General features: G+C 43.3%; 1 protein-coding gene across 5 annotated transcripts in view; it reads right to left on the bottom strand.

The window, feature by feature from the left end:
* The window catches only part of TUB (TUB bipartite transcription factor), an 86999-nt gene that overhangs the window by 47087 nt on the left and 20060 nt on the right, over positions 1 to 19852 (bottom strand). The window contains exon 2 of one of the 5 annotated variants that reach the window (NM_003320.5): positions 19465 to 19512. The exons of the other annotated variants lie outside the window; for them this stretch is intronic. Coding sequence (NP_003311.2) covers positions 19465 to 19512 — 48 coding nt within the window. The remainder of the gene's footprint in view (positions 1 to 19464; positions 19513 to 19852) is intronic. 5 annotated transcript variants of the gene reach the window in all.

Below are 19852 nucleotides of genomic sequence, written 5' to 3'. Positions count from 1 at the left end.
TAGTGACAAGCCACAGCTTGTCTGGAAACCTAAGACACTGCTCCCAGGGTCTCTGCAAGTTACATCTGTCCCTCCACCCCACCCTACCTCACCGTCTGCACAGTAAGGAGACATGTTGGGACTATGTGTAATGGAGGGCCTACGGGGTGTTAACAGTGACATTTAACAACAAGCTCTCCAGAAAATGTCTGCATGCGTAGACTCAATAAGTTTATTATAAATTTTACTGACACAAAGGATGTATAGCACATAATTTACAAATACTAATGAAATATCCAATATTCTTTATTGTAAATTCCATATAGCCAGATGACTGTCCCAGAAATCAACCCATTCAATGAGTTTCGCCTAACTCTTTATCTGTAGCCAACCTACGGTTGCAATGACAAATTACTGTAGTTCCAGCTTAATGCTGCTTGATATTTTCATTTATGTTAACAAGTAAGTTGAAAGTGAAACAACAAAGACATGTCAGAACTTCACTCCTTCACTGGTGGTCGGAGTGACTTCTTTGCTGAATAGGTTAATAGTTTCTGAATACTGGAAAAATCTTTGTTTTCTGCTATTCACCATGGAGCAACTATAAACATGACACCCTTTAAAATGTAATCTGCATTAGTAGTATTTTTTCCCATCACTTTCTCAGGTCTAGACAATCAACAAAACAATAAACCAGGTCTTAATGTGCAGCACCTGTTGACTCCCCTGGTCTAGCCACCCTCGCCATGGCCAATCTGTGATGTGACTGAGCATCGAAGTGCGAGGAGATGCTCAGCAGTGCACGGTCACGTGGCAGTTCCACCCCGCAGACACAACAGACAAGCGCAGGGAAAGGCAGTAAAATGAATACGAAGTGGTGAGTTTTCAGTATATTACCTTTGTAAACATAACTTGTTTAATGTTAAATTTATACCGCTTCTTTTTTTTTTTTTTTTTAATTTTTGAGAGAGAGGATCTTGCTCTGTAGCCCAGGCTGGAGTGCAGTGGTGTGATCTCGGCTCACTGTGGCCTTGACCTCCTAGGCTCAAGTGATCCTCCCACCTCAGCCTCCTGAGTAGCTGGGACTACAGGCATGTACCACCATGCCTGGCTAATTTTTGTATTTTTTTGTAGAGATGGGGGTCTCACCATGTTGCCCAGGCTGGTCTCGAACTCCTGGCCTCAAGCAATCCTCCTGCCTCGGCCTCCCAAAGTGCTGGTGCGGCAGGCCAGGCATCACTAACACAGGCCTCCATAACAACTGTTTCAGTACTGACTGAGTGGTTAAGTCAAATATTAAAAGCTGACAGAACCAGTGCCCTTATACAAAGGCTGGGATGTAACAAAAGCCCACCAAGAGTTTTGCCTAGGCCTTTCCTGGGCCTTAAAGCATGACAAAATAATGAAGGAATTCTTAACAGGCCTCGTTTAAGGTTAAACAAGTTTTATTGGGGGTCTGAAGAAACTCCCCAGGCCTCCACAAATAAGTTTTATTGGAGGGCTGAAGGAACTCCCCAAACCTCCGTGACTTCGCAGGGGACAAGATAAGGAGGGTAATTACCCCTGGCACCTGGACCCATCTAGATTAAGTAAATTTACTGAGGCCCCAGAGGAAGGTCTTCAGGACTCGAATCTTAGTTATAGATTAAAAGAAGTTAATCACTTATGTCTTTAGACGAATGCACACTTACACATAGACATATAGTTTAGAAGATATATAAGCTCTGGAAAACTTTGTAATTTTGAGTTGGTCTGGCAATAATTTCCAGGCCTTCTCCCTGTGACCGGTTACAGAAATAAAAACTCCCCTCTCTCCCAGTTCATCTGCATCTCGTTACTGGGCCTTGAGAATAAGCAGCTGACCCTCGGTTTGGTCCAGGAACACTGGGATTACAGGCGCGAGTAACTGTGCCCGGCCAGTTTGATGCTTAATAACAGCTATGTTGAGCAAAGGGCTTACAAACATTTTCCTTTATTGCGCAATCGATTCTCATGAGCTGTCTGTGGGCCAGTTCCAGGAGAGTCACCCTAAAGAACTGAATGGGACCCTCCATTACTGCCATTACCCAGAGGGCCAGTCCCCTCCCCAGCCCTCCAGAGCCTAGCTTGTGAGCTGCCAGAGCTGGGATCCTGAGAGTCTAACAGACCCTGCTGTGTGATCCAGCCAGCTTGTTTCCACTCTGTGGGCCTCAGTTTCCTCAACTTTGAGGGGGAAAATGGTGCCTCCTAACTCGTGACGTGTGGAGAGAATGAAACGCCCACTTGCCCTTCCCCCACACACTTGGCCTACATACTGTAGTTCGTTCCCATCACTGCCCCCACACCTTACTTGAGACACACCATGTGCTTGTTTTGGGGACATGCCTGCACACCCCTCACCCTCCCAAACCACATCACACACAACAACATGTCACCCCATATACCACTCAGAGACAAGCTCACCTGTAGACAGCTGCCTCCCACACATCACCTCAGACACTCCACAGATAGATTTTCCTCCAGCTCTACCTCACACACAGCCTACCTGCATACCCAAACCACACCCCACAAAGGCTCCCATGCGCATATGTACCCAAAATTCCTTCGTGTGCTTTGTACCCACATGTACTGTGCCAAATACCTTTTCCCTCCCCCCAGGCATTTCACAGAAATGGATGCCTCACCCTGCCCACCACAACCCACTGACACTCCAGACGTCCCCCTGCCTTCCCCTGTCAGCACAAGCATGCGCACCACACACATGTGCCCATCATTTATTTATACTTCTCTCCAAACTCACACCTCACAGCACACACTCATGCCACCCCCACGCACAGGCATTCCCATATGGCCCTCACACACTCAAGGCATTCCCATATGGCCGCACATTCCAGGACAGGAGACCCCAGCCAGCCCTCTGAGCCCATGCCCTGGATTAAGGAGAGTGAGGGGCATCCTGGTAGCACGAGGTGGGAAAGCTAGGGTGCACTTCCTCGTGGTGACAGCTTGCTTCCCTGGAGGTCAGGCCCTGGCTTGAGGTGCAGGGAGGACTTCAGAGAGCTGAGAAGGGATAGGACAGAACTGTTGGCTAAACACCTCTGTGTCCTCCAGATCCAGCCTCAGGCGGCTCCAGCAGCCAGCTCCTTCCTGCTCTCCCCAGCACCCCCAACCCAAACAAGGACACCCATCTGCTTCTGGAAGCTCCTCCCATGCCCTGTGAGAGCGGGACTCTTGGGGGCTTAAGGGCCTTGCCCAGGCTGCAGTGAACGCTGAGCCCAGGCTCCCCTGTCACAGGGAGGGATCAGAAGTCACAGGGCCCTGAGCGAAGGGGCTAGTGGGAAGGTGAGCAGGGAGGCCAGGGCTCCTGCTTCCAACTCCACAGGTGCTGTCAGGACTCCAAGGGGGTGCTCCTTTCCTATGCCTTGCCAGACTGAGGCGGTGGCAGAGGCACACACTGTCATTGGCTGTCCCAGCCCTCAGCTCCACCTGAAGGTTGGACTCTATCCTGTCCCCCAGTCATCATCCTGTACTCTTGCCCTGTCCTTGCCCCCACCCCCAGCCCATCAGCAGCAGAGCTGAGTCCTGGGGTGAGGGGCCTCTGTCTGTCTGCTCCCATCACCCAGCATCTGTGCGGCCAGGGTAAGGGCCTGCCTCCTGGACCACCCCATCATCTGAGCAAGGAGGAGCCAGTGTGCAGCAGATGCTGGGTGGGCTCTGGGGCCCATGATGGGCAGATGCCAGCACATCTGTCTAGGTGGTCCCAGGACACTCTAAGAGCAGCCTCAGGCCAGACCGGGTCCTGATGGGCACAGGGAAGCCATCTCAGGGGTACACCCCTTCTTACAGCGCCACCCAGCGATAATCCAGAGTAATGGCTGAGGCCTTAGAGAGCAATGGTGAGGTATGCGCCACCCACTTCAGAAAGCTCACTCACTATCTTGCATTCTCCTCCCACCTCTCTCTCTCTCACACACGCACACACACAGGCCACTCCAGACTGATCCCACCAGGCTGATGCAGCCTGTCCTCTCTAGACTCTACATCCTGGTCCTTGCAGAAGATGCTGCCTTCAGATTTCCATGGCAACAGCAGACAGCTGCCCTGACTGATGAGTTACAGTAAACCCTCTCCTCTCTGTCTAGCTGAGGGGGTTTCCAGGGGACACAGGCTGAGCATCTAGGCCTGGGCTCCAGACTTGGGTTAGTCATGACAGAGTGACTCTAGGACGGGCCAGCCTCCACACCCCATCTTGCCCAAGCCCACCTCCTCTTCACCTTCTGGCCCTTTGAGAGATTGTTTAAAATGGCAGAGAATAAGCCATGTAAGCACCAAGGCTGTGCTGAGCTACTCTACCATCCCTTTAGCCAGATGTGCCATGTGCCTCCCAGTGACAGTAACACAGGAACATACACCCATGCACATGTATGAACACAGGTACAGTACACACAGGAACATGTACACAATATTCACACAAAGTGGAAATCTCCATGGCTGCAGAGACCATGTGTGCATGCATGCTGACACATATATGGAGGAACACATACACACATACATATGCCAGGACACACATCAAGGTGTATGCATAGATATGCCACAACAGACATTCGGGCTGGGAGATGACATGGCATGCAGGTGAGGACATGTCTACAGGCTCACACATATCCATTCCAATTGATGGAAATGGACATGGGCCCACAACTGTTCCCTACTCCCACTTGTGCTCTCTCTCTGTCTCTCTCTCTCTCTCTCTCTCCAGCCCTTGCCCCTGCCAGGCCCAAGGAGGGGCATGTGGAAAGTCAGAGGACCATAAAAGAATCAAACCCTTAAGAAAGGGCTGTAATCAAAGATACAGATGAGACTGTACACATCTGAATCTTACTATATTTCTAGACTAATAAATTAAAAATCTCAACACAATGAACTTTCTAGAAAATATAAATCTCTAAACTTAAAAAGAAGTAGAAAAGTTGATTAGATTAATAACCATAGAAGAAACTGGAAATGTTGCTAAACAGCTCCAGACAAGAAAGGTGCCAGACCAAGATGAATTTTGGGACAAGTATTTCAAACTTTTTTTTCTTTTTGAGACAGAGTCTCGCTCTGTCGCCCCGGCTGGAGTACAGTGGTGAGATCTCGGCTCACTGCAAGCTCCGCCTCCCGGGTTCACACCATTCTCCTGCCTCAGCCTCCCGAGTAGCTGGGACTACAGGGCCCGCCACCACGTCTGGCTAATATTTTTGTATTTTTAGTAGAGACGGGGTTTCACCGTGTTAGCCAGGATGGTCTCGATCTCCTGACCTCTTGATCTGCCTGCCTTGGCCTCCCAAAGTGCTGGGATTACAGGCGTGAGCCACTGCGCCCGGCCAAGTATTTCAAACTTTTAAAAACGACAATTATTGGCCGGGCACGGTGGCTCACGCCTGTAATCCCAGCACTTTGGGAGGCCAAGGCAGGCGGATCGCGAGGTCAGGAGATCGAGACCATCCTGGCTAACACGGTGAAACCCCGTCTCTATTAAAAATACAAAAAAATTCGCCGGGCGTCGTGGCGGGCGCCGGTAGTCCCAGCTACTCCGGAGACTGAGGCAGGAGAATGGCGTGAACTCAGGAGGCGGAGCTTGCAGTGAGCCGAGATCGTGCAACTGCACTCCAGCCTGGGCGACAGAGCGAGACTCTGTCTCAAAATAAATAGATAAATTAATAAATAAAGATAAATAAATAAAAACAGACAATTATTGAGTTAGAGGAATCACTCAGCAATACATAAAAAAAGATGAGATGCAACCAACTAATTCTGCAAGGTTAATCAAACCCTGATATAAAAATCTAACTCCCCAGAAACCTAAAACTCCAATACTTAATAGCCTTACTTATTAAAAATATATTTAGCATTCTCAATAAAAGATTAACAAATCAAACCTAGAAGTAAGTTGAATGAAAAATGTAACATGCACCATATAGAGCTCATTCCATTTCCGGAAATGGAAAGATGGTTTATATATGAGTAACCCTATTAATCTAATACATCACATTAATAAGCCTAATGATAAATGTCGTAAGTTTTAACAGATACCAAAGAGGTCTTGGATAAAACTCAGCACTCATTTTTGGTTAAAAGAAATTTATTAGTAAACTAGGAACAGAAGTATAGTTGACAGGATAAAGAATATAACTAAGCATTGTTTTATAAGTTCTAGCCAATGCAATAATTTATTTTTTCACATAATTATTAGAAAAGAAGATAAACTGATCATTATTTGCATATCCAACTGTCTACCTAGCAAAATCTAAGAAAATTAACTGAAAAACTATTAGAATTAATAAATAAGTCAGTGGCATTGATTAATACAGAATAACTACCTGTAAATAAATGGCTTTTCTACATATCAGAAACATCCAATTTAAAAATATAATTAAAAAGGTCCGGCCGGGCACAGTGGCTCACGCCTGTAATCCCAGCACTTTGTGAGGCCAAGGTGGCCGGATCACGAGGTCAGGAGATCGAGATCATCCTGGCTAACACGGTGAAACCTCATCTCTACTAAAAATACAAAAACAAAAAATTAGCAGGGCGTGGTGGTGGGCACCTGTAGTCCCGGCTACATGAGAGGCTGAGGCAGGAGAATGGCATGAACCCAGGAGGCAGAGCTTGCAGTGAGCCGAGATTGCACCACTGCACTCCAGCCTGGGAGACAGAGCGAGACTCCGTCTCAAAAAAAAAAAAAAAAAAAAAAGGTCCTATTCACACAAGCAATAGAAAAAATAACCTATCTAGGGAAGCTTCACAAGAAATGCCTTCGACATACATGAAAACAAACTACAATTCTATTAATAATAAAACAAACTATAAAATTTTACTTATATTAACATCCTTGATAAAAGGAGATGCATCCCCTGTTCCTGTATGGAACTGCAATTTTGTCAAATAAATTGACAGGTGTGATCCCATTCTAATCATAAATGCAGCAGAATTTTTTTTCAACTGGACAAATTTATTCCAAAATTCATCTGGAGAAATAAGCCAGTTTTCCAAGTTAGCCAAGACAATTTTGTAACCGTAAAAGAATGAGGAGGCATTTGCCATGCCAGTTATCAAACTGTGCTATGAATCTCCAATAAATCATCTGTACTAGGAAACTGTACCAAAAACAGTGGTATCGACGTGAGAATGACCAATGGACCAATGCAGTACAGAAATAGTACCATGTATATAGAGGAAATTGGTTTACAATAAAGATGGCCTTTCAAAATACTGAAGAAACATTGGATTATTTAGTAAGTGGCTTAGAGATCAACTTGCTATCCATTTGGGGCAAATAAAGCTATATCCCTATTTCACATCACATACAAAAACAAATAACAGAGGATTAAAGGTTTATTACAAAAAAGAAAACTGTTAAGTAGAACATGTTAGAGAGTATTCTTCTAGTCATGTGCAGGGAGTGGGGGAGCTTTTCTAAGCATGTTCCTAAATCCAGAAGCCATAAAAGTTTATTAGGTAAAAATCACCGTCTTCTATATGGCAAGAGACACTGTAATTGAAGTGAGTGCAAAGCTGGCGAATATGCAGTGAGGGTGGCCCTTCAGATACTGTGCGGAGAGAGTGGATTGATAGCCTTTCTGGAAAGAAATGTGATAATATGAATGTATCAAAGAACTTTAAAGAGATTCATTCTTTTTGAGCCATTAATTTCATTTCTCTGAAGCTATTCTAAGAAAGTGATCACAAGAGTACAGAGATTTATGTACAAATATATTCATCATTGAGAATTTAGAAATTATGGAAATAACCAAAATAAAGGAATGATTAAATTTCAACAAATCCATAAAAGAGCTATTATATAGCCATTAAAAACAGTATTTTCCCGATAATATTTAACAATATGGGAAAGTATGTTACATGAAAAATTTAGATGACAAAACAGTTTACACAATGTCATTAGGATATAGGCACACACAAACATATGTAATTGCCACTTGTGAACAAACTCATACTGCACATTTTTTTCAGGTAACACCCGAGATCATTTTCAAAGTAGCACCTAAGAATTTAAGCCCATTTTTTTTTCAGTAACAAAGAGCAAAACACAAAGCAAATAAAAGAAACAACTTCATTTTCAGCATCCACTCTGAGATGCTCACTACTCCACTCCCCGGGCTCCCCTCCTGACGGTTCCCAGTGGAACAACTGGTCCTGGCCGTTAGCTACTTGAAAGCTTCCTGTCTCACCTTGACTTTAAGCTTTTCCTCTGTTTTAATGGTCCTACTAGTCTTTCTTTGGAGAATATGTGTGCAATTGTCTCATAAGATTACATCCCTCAAAAGGATGCAATTTTATTGTGGAACCAGTAAAAGTTAAAAGATTATTGAAAGCATAGGAAAAAAGAGCTAAGAGACAGAAGAGCAGAAAACACATTTTCTTTAATATCTTCTAGTTAGATGGCACTTATTTTTAAGATGACAGACTTCGCTGAAGGGAAAAATAAAATAGTACTTTAACCAGGCCGTTTTATTTATGGAAAGCTTTTTGGCCTTATTCACTTTTTTAAAAAAAATGAATTAAGGATTACCAGGAGTGGGTGAATAAGTAAAAGATTAAAAAGAAATACATGAATGAAAAGATGCTCAACTTCATTATTCACCAGGAAAATGTAAAGTAAAACCACAAGACCACATGCAACACACTCACCAGAACAGCTAAAATAAAAAGACAGAAAAGACCAAGTGTTGGTGGAGATATGGGACAGCTGGGATTCATATATTGCTGGTGAAAGTGTACTGGTACAACAATTCTGGAAAACTTTGGCAGCATCCACTAGAATGGAACATAAGATTCAGCAGTTCCACTCCTAGGTACGCACCTCATGGAAACACAGACGCATGCACCAAAAGATATGTACAAGAATGCTTATAGCAGCACTATTCGTAACTGCCAAATACTTTAAACTTTCCAAATGTCCATGAACGGTAGAATGCATATACAAACTACAACAGTCACACAATTGAATACTATACAGCAATAATAAATGAACTACCGTATAACTACATACCTGACATACATGCATCTTGCAAATTAATATTGAACAAAATAAACCAGCCTCAAAGAGTAGATAATAAATTATCCCACTTATATAAATGTCAAACACAGGCAAAATTAATCTATGATGTTAAAAGTCGGGATCACTACTTTGGGAGGGTGCATTTATCAGAAAAGGGCTCAACGTGGGCTTCTAGGGGGCTGGCAAATGTTGTGTTTCTTGGTCTGGGTAGTGTTAACATGACTGTCTGTGTTCAGCTGTGCAAATTCATCATAAGCTGTCCACTTATAATTTGTGTATTTCCATGTTACTATATATACTTCAATTAAAAATTTAAAGATGAAAATTAATCAAAATGTCAGTAGGAATTACCTCTGGGTGTTGGAACTATAGGTCATCTTATTTTTCTTCCTTATATTGTTTTATGTATTCCAAATTTACTACAATGAATATGTAGTGATTACATACATATGTTATTATGGTTATATAATAAAATTACATAATAAAATTACACAATAAAAGTAATGTGATTTTATTTTATATGTATGTGTGTGTGTATCTATCTATCTATCTATCTATCTATATATATATATATATATACCACATAATACCACCATGGTTCTAAAAGGTGCTGTGAAGGTGGCCTGGGCAATAAGCCACTACTTCTTTTCCTGAGGGGTATGCATTGTCTCTTTGCTGGGCCTCGGCCAGTGGTTCTCAAATCTGCCTGGACATCAGAATCACCTGGAGATCTATTTAAAATTCAGATTCTTGGGCCCTACTCTCAATGACTCTGATTTAGTTGGTCTAGGATGGCCTCCAATACGGCACCCTTCAAGTTCTAAAATAGCAGGATGACACACCATGGGGTCTGAGCTGTGGAAGCCTCAGCTCTTCCTACTGGATGGGGGTTGGGAAAACCTGCCTGGGGCACTGAAAGTCCCCTTGGGTTAGGCTGTGAAATGAAGACTATGCCATAGGGTTTGGTAGCTTCCTAGAAGGGCAAGGGTTTGGAAAGCACAAGGTAGCCCATGCTTTGGGCCGACTACAGAAGAGAGAGGATGGCAAAGCAGGTAAGAGCACGAATATGGAGTCAAATAGACTTGGGTTCAAATCCTGCCTTGCAGTAAGCTCTCTATGTTTGAGGTTAACCACTTTGAGCTTTAGCTGTACCATGGGAATTCATAGGGATTCTCATATCTCTTTGACAGAATTACGAATATTAAATATGATAATTTATGTAAAACAATACAGAGTCTGGCATGCAGTAATGTCAAATGATATATGCTATATGTAATATTATACTTAATTGCATATATTTAATCTTACATATAATTACATAACATTACAACATTACATATTATATAGAGAAATATATTAATTGATATTGAGTATGAATAGTCCAAATTATGGAAAGTCTGATGCTCTGATGATTGTTTTAAAAAATACAGCTTTCAGCCAGGCATAGTGGCTCATGCCTGTAATCCCAGCACTTTAGGAGGCCAAGTTGGGAGGATTGCTTGAGACCAGGAGTTCCAGACTGGCCTGGGCAACATAATGAGGCCCTGTCTCCACAAAAAAGAAAACAAAGATTTAGCTGGGTCTGGCAGCATATTCCTACAGTTCCAGGTCCTCAGTAGATTGAGGTGGGAGGATCACTTGAGCCCAGGACTTCTGGGCTGCAGTGAGCCATGATCGCATCACCATGTTCCAGCCTGAGTGACAGAACAAGACCTCATCTCATTAAAAAAATCTAAAAAAGAAAACAAACAAAACAAAAAGCACCTTCATCTATTGTAGTCCCTTTTTGTGGACACTCTAAATTAAAACATTCATTCACTTATTCATTCATTCATGAAGTCTTTGAAAGCTTTCCTCACCAGTTATTAACTATGTGACCTCAGGCAATTTACTTAACCACTATGTGTCTAATTTTTCTTCCACAAAATGAGAATGATAACAGTACTCACCTCATAGGGTTACTGTGACTATGAAATGAGTTAATGTGTGTAAATGGCCTAGACTCATGTGTGGTATAAGTCCTCAACAAATGTTAGCTATTATTATTCATTTGAAAATTATTTACTGAGTGCTCACTGTGTACATGCACTGTAGGCTGAGGACACAACAATGAAAAAAAAAAGATACAGCCCTGCCTTCATGGTGCTTGTAATCAAATGACAGTGAAGGATATAAATAATTATTAAAATGGATGAGCAAATGGGACCCTTTCTAGCAGAGTTATATTGCATGGTGGCACATCACAGTCATCAAAGACCTTCATCACATCCTATTCTAAAATCTCTTTTCAAGAAAAATGTCCTGTGATGCATCAGGCTCTTTGTGGCACAGTTTCTAAGTCACATGCAGGAGATGGCCCAGCCACCCCAAGGACCCTCCCTGGGGCTCAGGCTCCGTGCAGGTTTGGATGATTCATCAGGGATCCCTTTGAAACAAAAGGTATAAATGCAGCAATGGCAAGTTCCTTAAGTCTAGCCCCTGTGCAGTAGAGCAGGGAGGCAGCACAAACCCTCAAGCTCAATATTGCCTGAATCTAGGAGGAAGGCCCTGCTGCACAGAGCCCTTCTGCTATTGGGACTCCAGGCCACTCGAGGGCATCTGGCCTTGGATCTCATTTCCACCAGCCATGGCTCCACACCTCCATTCCTTCATCCAGTGCACTTATAATGAGTACCTATTCTGTGCATGGCTTTCCACTGAGGGTACTGAGCTAAGCAAGATACGTTCTTACCCTCAGAGAGATCACAGCCCAGTAGTAGATTTGGATGGAATCATGATTGATATAAATTTACTAAGACTTGTGATAGAGTTTAGCACTGCATGTGATTGAGGACATCTGAGTAGGCTTCCTGGAGGAGGTGATACCAAGTCTTGAAGGCTGGTGAGAAGTCTACCAGGTGAAGACAGGGAAGAGCACTACATATGGAAGGAGTCACAGGTGAAGCCCAGAAATGGAAAAGAGTACATGAGTTTGGGGGGCTGGTGCAGCTGGCAGTGGGGAGAGGCAGGAGAGGAGACGATGCTGGAGAATATAACAGGAACCAGATAGTAAACAGCCTTTTGTCTCCACTAAGAATGCAGTGCTCTGTGCTAAAGCTTTAGAGCAAGCTTGTCCACCCTGCAGCCTGCAGGCTGCACGTAGCCCAGGATGGCTTTGAGTGTGGCCCAACATAAATTTGTAAACTTTCTTAAAATATTATGAAAATTTTTTGCGAATTTTAAAAAAGTGAAGCAGCTGTCGTTAGTGCTAGTGTATTTTATGTGTGGCCCAAGACAATTTTTCTTCTTCCAATGTGGCCCAAGGAAGCCAAAAAATTGGACAGCCCTGCTTCAGAGAATCCACTGAAATACATTAAGTGGGGGATGATAGGATCCTATCTATGCTTTGGAAAACTGACTCTGGCTTCAGTGTGGCCCATGGCTTGGAGTAAGATAGGCTGGAGGCAAAGAGGCAGTTTGCAGGCTGCTATATAGTCACTTAGACTAAATACCGTGAGGACCTAGGTAATCTGGTGGTCAGAGAGAAAAGAAAGAGATGCACAGATTTGGGCCTAACAAAGAATATGAAATTGAAAGGATTTTATTTAATTAAATATCAGGGAATGGTGAAAAAGAGGTCACAGTGGCCTTTAAGATTTGGGGCTGGGTTTCCCCCAGGAGATAGGAAATAGAAGACGAGGGACAGGTTGGTGAGAGAAGATGTTAGTTTGGATGCATTGAGTTTGAGGGGTCTGTGTGATATCCAGTTGGGAATGTAGAGTAAGCACTTAAAATGGTGAGCCTAAAACTAAGGAGAGACTTCTGCCTTCAGTCACAATGGAGTAACAGGGCCTAGATTTACATTTCTGCCTTAACATTTAAAAACCGGTGAAATAGATGAAACGACAGTTCAGACATTGGACAAAAGGTGGTGCAAGGCAATGATCCTGAGGAAAGAGAACAAACAAAGTGAACCCTGCAAGTGCCCTGATTATTCCCTGGAAAGGGTTTCCAGAAGGAAGAGCTAGAGAGTGAGAGAGCAAGAGACTGAGAAAGAGAAGGAGGGATGGAGGGAGGGGAGGGAGATAACGCACAAATGTGCTTCGGAGGCCTGTAGAGGGCTTCCCTTATCTCTGGCTGAGTACTGATCTGCACATGCTTGTGAGAAAACGACCCAAGGCTGGGGAATGAACCACAGAGAGAAGTAAGCAGAGCAATCTCAGAAATTCACAGAAGGGTGGAAATACTCTGTGTTCCCACCAGTCCGAGCAGAAAGACCTCCTAATACACAGAACATCAGATCAGGGAGGGTCCTCAGAAGAGCACTCTTTAGTAGTGAGGCCAACTTAGCCCTCGGCCAAGGGCTGCTCTGGACCTGCCCTAACAAAGCCTAAAAGAAAACCCCAGAAGGATCCAACTGATTCCAAGTATAGGATGAATATCCCTTATCCAAAATGCCTGAGACCAGAAGTGTTTCAGATTTTGGATTTTTTCAAGTTTTGGAATATTTGTATTATACTTACTGGTTCAGCATCCCTAATCTGAAATGCTCCAATGAGCCCTTCCTTTGAGTGTCATTTGGCTCTCAAAAAGTTTCAGATTTTGGAGCGTTTCAGGTTTCGGATATTCCGGATACTCAACCTGTAACTTAATTGTTTGTCAGAACAAAGCCCACCATTAACTATTAAAGGATAAAACAAAGCCCAACATTGTAAAATCCAAAACATTTATCATCTAATCAAAAATTACCCAGGCATTCAAAAAAGGAGGAGGAGAAGATGCATAACTAGGAGAAAAATCAATCACCAGTGCACACAAGAAGAAATATATATTTGGTCTTTGTCCCCAGTTCTTGACACAGAGCTTCTAAAACCCTTGGAAATTCTTGCATGATAGGAACATCTTTTTTATTCTCAATAAGCCACTTTCAACCATACCTGAGTTTATTCTAATGAGGTGACTCTTGGTGGGCTCCTAGATAGCTTAATGATGGAGGCTGGCTGCCAAAGGAACCAACCATGTGATTAGAGGATTAGAACTTGCAGCTCACCCCTAAGCCACTGGGGAAAGGAGAAGGGCTAGAGATTGAGTTCACTCACCAATGGTCAATGATTTAATCAGTTGTACCTATGTAACAGGACCTCCATAAAACCCTAAATGACAGAGTTTGGAGAGTTCCTGGCAGGTAAACATATCGGGGTGCTGGGGAGGTGGCACACCTGGAGAAGTCATGGAAGCTCCACGCCATTGCATACCTTGCCCTAGGTGTCTCTTCCATTTGGCTGTTCCTGAGTTGTATCCTTTATAATAAATCAGTAAAGAGTAAATAAAGTGCTTTCCTGAGTTCTGTTAGCCATTCTAGCAAATGTTCATACCTGAGCAGGGGTCCTAGGAACCCCCAATTTATAGCTGGTTGGCCAGAAGTATAGGTGACAACCTGGGACTTATGAAATGGGGGAAGTCTTGCGGGACTGAGCCCTTAAACTGTGGGGTCTGCATTAACTTCAGTTATAATAATTAGTACCAGAATCAAATTAAATTGCAGGACCCTCAGTTGGCATCTAGAGAGTTGCCAAATTGGTTGTTGGTGTGGAAAGAAACCACACATTTAGTGTTAGAAGTGTTGTGGGTAAAAACAGTACAAGTAGGAAGACACAGATGACAGAATTAGCAGACATAAATGTTAAAAGAGCTATGATAAACTCACTCCACGTAAAAAAGATAGAGAAAAATATGACTATGATGAGGAGAGAAATGAAATACATAATTAAGATGCAAGTCAAGCTTCAAGAGATGAAAAACATAGTATCTAAAATAAAATATATACTTCATGGAATTAGACACTGCAAAGCAAAGATTCGTAAATTCAAAGGCATAGGTAGAAATATTTCAAAATAAAACACAGAAAAATACTGAAAAATGAAAAACTCTGGAACAATATTAAGCAAGCTAACATACACATAGTTGGAGTTTCAGGGGAAAAGTCAGAAAAAATATTAGAAGAAATAATGCCCAATGTTTCTTCAAATTTAATGAACACCATATACCCATATATCCAAGAAACTCAAAAGACATTCAGTGGAAGAAACGTGAAGAAAACTATACCAAGACATCACATAATCAATTGTTGAAAGCCAACGATAAAGAGAAAAATCTTAAGAGCAGCCAGAAGAAGGGGGGTGGGGTGGGGCAGATGCTCATTCTAGACAAATGTATTCAACATTGTACTGGAGGTTTTAGCCAAGATGATTAGGCAAGAAAATGAAACAAAAGGCATCCAGATTAGAAAGGAACAAATAAAACTATCTCTACTCATACAAGACATAATCTTGTGTAATAAAAATCTAAGTTATCCACTAAAAAATGATTGTAACTAATAAACAAGTTCAGCAAGTTTGCAGGATACAAGATCATTACACAAAATCAGTTATACATAGTTCTATACACTTGCATTAAGAAAGCAATTCAATTTACAAAAGCATCAAGAAGAATAAAACACTGAGGAATAAACTGCTAAAAATAAGTGCAATATTATACATTGAAAACTATAAACTTCTTTGAAAGAAATTAAAGAAGACCTAAATAATAAACAAGAAGACATCCTGTATTTATGGATCAAAAGACTATATACTATTAAGATGGCAATACTCTCCAAACTGATCTACAGATTCGGTCCAATCTCCATTAGAATACTGGCTGGCTTCTTTGTGGAAATTGACAAGCAGATTCTAAAATTTGTAAGAAAAAATTAAGGGATACAGAATAGCCAAACAACCTTGAAAAAGAACAAAGGTGGAGAACTCATCCTGATCTCAAAACTTACCACAAAGCTCCAGTAATCAAGGTAATGTGGTACTGGTATAAAGATAGACATATAGGTCAAAGCAGTGGAATTGAGAGCCCAGAAATAAACTTACATTTACAGTCAACTGATTTACAACAGGATAGCGAGACCATTCAATGGAGGTAAAATGGTTTTTTCACCAAATGGTGCTGGGACAACTGAATATCCATATTCAAATGAATGAGTTGGGACCCCTACCTCACACCAATAACAAAATTAACTCAAAATGATTCAAAGACCTAAATGAAAGAGCCAAAACTATAAAGCTCTTAGAAGAAAACATAGGCAAAAATCTTTGTAAAAAATCCTACAGTTTCTTACATGTGACACCAAAAGCACAAGCAACAAAAGGAAACTAGATAAATTAGACTTCATAAAAATGTAAAATATTGGTGTTGCAAAAGACACCATCAAGAAAGTGAAGACAACCACAGAATAGAATAAAATATCTGCAAACCATATATCTGATAAGGGTCTTGTTTTTACCTAGAATATATAAAGAATGCTTCAACTCAATAATAAAAAGGCAACCCAATTTAAAAAATGGATAAGAGATATGAATAGACATTTTTCCAAGGAAGATATACAAATGGTCCATAAGCACATTGTTAGTCATCATTAGTGATCAGGGAAATGTAAGCCAAACCACAATGAGATACTACTTCACACTTACTAGGATGACTATACTTAAAATTGCAGATAATAACATGTATTGGCAAGAATATGAAAAAACTGAGACCCTCATATACTACTGGTGGGGATGTAAAATGCAGCAACCACTTGGGAAAACACTCTGACAGTTCCTCAAAAGGTTGAACATAGATCCTAGGCATATACCCAAGGAGTGAAAACATATGTCCCTATAAAAACCTGGACACAAGAGTTTATATCAGCATTATTTATAATAGCTAAAATGTGGAAACACCCAAATGTTCATCAATTGATGAATAGATAAAGAAAATGTGGTATATCCATACAATTGAATATTATTCAGCAATAAAAAGAAATGAAGTATTGATAAATGCTATGACACAGATGAACCTAGAAAATATTATACTAAGGAAAGAAGCCAGTTACAAAAGACCACATATTATGTGATTCCATTTACATGAAATGTCCAGAATAGGCAAATCTATAAAGATAGAAAATAGATTAGTGGCTGCCTAAGGCTGGGGGGTGTAGGAAAAGGGGGAGACTGCAAATGGGTATGGGTTTTCATTGGGGGGAGTAATGAAAATGTTCTAAAATAAATTGTAGTGATGGTCATACAACTTAAAACCATTGAACTGTACACTATAAACAGGCAACTTGTATGGTATATGAATTATATCCCAATAAGTGGGTAATGTGAGAGCTTTGAAATAGTTGTGGAGGAATTGGAGCAGGCCCAGGTCACAGGACTGCTGGGCATTGCTGGGGGCTCGCTGGAGGCTGCGGGCCATGAATTTGGACCAATGTCAATTCACGAAGGAATTCCCCCCACACCTTTAAACCAGGACTAGAGAAAGCAGGCAGTGACCCTGCTCTAAGGTTGAGGTAGGAGACTAAGAGGCCAGGTGGTGAATGGTGGGCAGTTGAAGTGACAAGCAACAGAGCTCAGATAGAATAGGAACAAGAGTTGATTCAGAGTGAGGAGAAAAACTAGGGCTCAGGGGCCTGAGGTCTCTATGAACAGACATGGTGGAGATATGGGAGGCAGAATGCATACGAGGTACACAAAGATTAAGGTTTCACAGGTGGAACAGTTTCAAATGATCCCAAGATGCCAAGTAATGGGTGGATGAAATGGAGATGATATTCTTCAACAAGTTGAAGACAACAAGCCAAGATTCTCTTGCTTTGCTATATCCCTAAGTGGCTGGACCATTAACTTTGCCATTAATTATGACTATTCCAAACCTACGGAGATAAGTCAGCCCTATAAGTCAGCCCTCAATTCCAAAGATGCCTGGCTCCTCATCTCCCTACTTACAGCCCTGTGTCACCATGGGGGAAACATCATGCTTGCTGGCACCATCTTGAATTGTGCAGTTTTACCTGATATTAAGGGATACTGGCAGAGCCTTTCAACAGGGAAGAGCCATTCAACGTGAAGTAGAGAGATACCAAACACCAGAAATGAGCCAGCCCAGAAACCCAGTATGGCCAAGAGTCCCTGCCAGGCAGCCATCAGCTGTAGACATACAGTTCACACTATGCTCAGAACTTCCATTCACATAAGGCAAGGTCATGGCCAAAGGACTACTCACTCCTGAGAAGCCCCTTGACTCCCACACAGTGATGCTGGTTCCCTCTCCTGCAGTACAGAGAAAGAACCCTGAGCAGGTGGCCTGCGTTCTAATTCTGAGTCTACCACAAACTTGCAGTGTGACCTTGGTTCAGAACCTGAGGCCTGTTTTGCCTGTTACACAAGGGGTTGGATGTGGGATCTCAAAAATTTCTTGCAGCCTTGACAGTGGGTTCAGGAAGGAGGCTGTCATCAACTTATATCACTCAAAATACACCAGCTGCACATGACAAATGAGCTGAAGTCTCAAGCCTCATTAACAGTCATCACAGCAGAGTCATCCCTCTGGGGTTCACTACTTGCACCCCTCCTCCTCCTACTGCTCCTTCCCAAGAGCCTGTGAAGTAGGCTCAAGTGATACACCCTCCCCCACACCACTGTCTTTCTCTTCATGAGATTTTCTTTAGGCTAAAAAGTCAACCTGGTTTGAGGCCATGTGTAAAAAAGGAGAGCAATGGGGTCCCTGCCATGAAGGCCATACTCGAGACCCCTGGCTCTCCACAGAGCTTCCCTTTAGGGCGCCATCATCACAAACCCCATCAGAAACCCGGGACTGACATCCATGAGGAGGCAAAGCAGAGCCCCAGGTGCCCCCCATTTCTCTGGCCTGGTCCCTTGGAAGGACAGACAGACTTCCCAGGTGTTGGGGACGCCCAGCAGACACTCTGCAGCTGGGGACAGGATCCTGTCATTTTGCCTCATCTGTACACAAGACAGCACCCCCTCCTTCACAGGGCAGTTGTTTATGACCATTCTGTGGGCCAAGAAACATATCCTTGGGACCCCAACATGTGTAAACAACAAATGAGGTCCTGGTTAGGAGCCTTAGGCAAGACCCACCTCCTGATGTTAGAAAGCAGGCTTGGGACGGCACCCCGGGGCAGGGCATCTCCACATCTGGGTGTTTGGGCAATGGGAGGGCAGGGGGGCTGGAGGCTCTGCCACCATGATTCCCTCTGTGGTCCTAGGCTATGGTGTGACCACATGTAGAGGACACCTCCTTTCTGAGAAGGCTTGGCTGAGAGTCCCAGCACAGGCTAGTGAACAGAGCCCAGGCCTCTGGACCTGCTCATCAGCATCACCCGGTTAGAGTCAAGGCAAAAAGACCACAGGAGGATCCAAGAGGGACAAACCCAAGGCCACAATAGTCACACACAATAAGAGCAGGCTTTGTCCAGTGGTCACACCCTCCCCTAAACCCCATTTCACACACACACTCCCAGGCGCATATGGGGTTCATGGCCCCTGAGCCACCCACGTCTTCCGCCCACCTCCCTCACAGTCTCCTGTGGTTGGCCCTTTCCCAGGGCCGGCACGCCCTCCTCCCCTCCAGCTCACCGAGCGATCTCCCTTCCTTCCTTCCAGTACTTCCTCCTGGTTGTTCTCCTGAGGAGGAAAAGAAGGGGTGACTCTCCACATCCTTGCAGCCTCACCTCATCATCCCTGCCTGCTGCCTGGCCACACCTGGTCACTCAAGGCCTCCTTCAGTGCCCTGGTCTCAGCTGCCTCAGTAGGTGAGTTACGTGATGGATCAGGGTAGAGGGACTTCCATAGAGTGCTCACTCTGTGGGCCCCGGATGGCAGGCAGGCAGGCAGGCAGTCCAGATGAGGGCAGTGATGACCTGAGCCATGGGAATGAAGCACTGGGGGGTGGGGAGACAGGCAGAAGCTGGAAGGAGGAGCCCTCCAGAAGAGGCAGAGGGCCGGAGTGTGGAGCTGCCGGAGC

This window comes from Homo sapiens, chromosome 11, assembly GCF_000001405.40.
Source record: "Homo sapiens chromosome 11, GRCh38.p14 Primary Assembly".
NCBI lineage: Eukaryota > Metazoa > Chordata > Mammalia > Primates > Hominidae > Homo > Homo sapiens.
This window is presented reverse-complemented; position numbering and strand designations above follow the sequence as displayed.